Genomic DNA, 1648 nt, shown 5'->3' on the forward strand with positions numbered 1-1648 from the left:
CAACTGTCTACTGTGCAACAAACGGAATGTACAGTAAGCATCTCACACTTAACATGTAAATACTAAACTTTTCATTTCCTCCCCTAAGTAGACTTTTCTGTCAGAAAATGTTTCACCCTTCTTCCTGCTCGGAGCTGAAGCCATGGGGTCATCCCTGATACCTTTCTTGTTCCGATATTCCACATCAAATCCACCAGGAAAGGCAATTATCATCTCTCACCAGATTACTGCTATAGCTTTCTGACTGGTCTTGCTGCTTCCTCCCTGGCCCTGTCATATTCTATTTCCAACACAGAAACCACAACAATCCTCCAAGAATACAGTTCAGTGTAAGCCACTGTTCTGCACAAAACTTCCACCAGGCTTCTCATCTCATTCAGAGTCAAATCCAGAGCCCTTACCTTGACCTACACAGCCAGATGCTTTGTTCTGTTACCTGTCTGATCCCATCTCTGGCTTCCTCTCTCCTCCTTCACTCCCCCAGCCAAGCTGGTCCCTTTGGTCTTTCTTAAACATCACAGCCACTCCCCGCTCAGCGAACTCCACACTCAGGGACCAAGCACTGGCTGTTCCTCCTGCCCAGAAGTCTCTCCCCAAGAGAATGATATGACTCACTTCTACACATTCTCAGTCTCTCCTCAAATTTTAAACTTTTTGTTTTGCATTTTAAATCATTCTTGTATTGATCTAAGAAATACCTTCCATGCAAGAGACACTGTATTGGAAACTTGAAGATGAATATGAAATGTCCTCTGCCCTCAATAAACTGCTAAATAGGACTAGAGAATGGGCTTTCCAGGAAGGTTTCCTAGAAGAAGCAGGCCTGGAACTGAATCTTGAAGAAAATAAAAGAGTTAATTGGGAGTGGGAAGGGAGGGGTGGCAAAGCAAGTACCTCTTAGGGAGAGAGCAATTGAGTATACGTGTGGATATGACAGAGTATGACATATTAGGAGGCTGCAAGATTAGCCTTATCTGTCCCCAGAACCTGGTCATGTGCTACGACATGAGCACTAGAGATAACTCACTGAACCACAGGGGATGGGAGGGAGAGGAAAGAATCACCCTAGAGGCAAGTCTGATGTCAGACTATCTCTAGAGTCGTGCAAGAGAGGAAGCCAAGAGCAGCACACAGATATGCAAACTGCTGGAAACTGCAGAGCACTGCTAGTGACAAGCAGGGACACTCAGATAAGCAACTAGGATGAGAAGCCCATTAGGAAGAAGGAAAGACGGCTCAACATATGAGCAGAATTCAGGAACATGAATTCCTTGGAGATGCAAGATTCAGAGACAATAATACTCTGTTACACTGACAGCCCTCAATGAACCATTTTTTCTGGTATTCATATCCTTGACAATCCTCTCCCTGGAATCTGGTCTGAACCTGTGACTTACTTTAACCCAGTGGTTCTCACAGAGATTTTGTTCTCCAGGGGATATTTGGCAGTGTTTAGAAACACTTTTATTTGACCCAAATGGGGAATGTGGAGAAAGGATGCTACTAGCATTCCTACTGTACTAGTGGGTAGTGGCCAGGGATGCTACTAAACATTCTACAATACACAGTACAGTCCCCCACAACAACAAAAAAATACCTTGCCAAAAATGTCAATAGTGTCAAGGTTGAAAAGCCAATAGAATGCAGC

The 1648-nt window shown here is 44.2% G+C and overlaps 2 annotated features.

The window, feature by feature from the left end:
* Positions 453–559: a transcriptional cis regulatory region, noted in NCBI's record as "candidate enhancer chr4.1973 targeted for multiplex CRISPR interference". NCBI's record gives its function as "positively regulates BMP2K gene expression with high confidence in K562 cells {active_cell/tissue: K562}" and the evidence as "EXISTENCE:mutant phenotype evidence [ECO:0000015][PMID:30612741]".
* Positions 725–1403: a transcriptional cis regulatory region, noted in NCBI's record as "candidate enhancer chr4.1974 targeted for multiplex CRISPR interference". NCBI's record gives its function as "positively regulates BMP2K gene expression with high confidence in K562 cells {active_cell/tissue: K562}" and the evidence as "EXISTENCE:mutant phenotype evidence [ECO:0000015][PMID:30612741]".

This window comes from Homo sapiens, chromosome 4, assembly GCF_000001405.40.
Source record: "Homo sapiens chromosome 4, GRCh38.p14 Primary Assembly".
In the NCBI taxonomy this organism is placed as follows: Eukaryota; Metazoa; Chordata; class Mammalia; order Primates; family Hominidae; genus Homo; species Homo sapiens.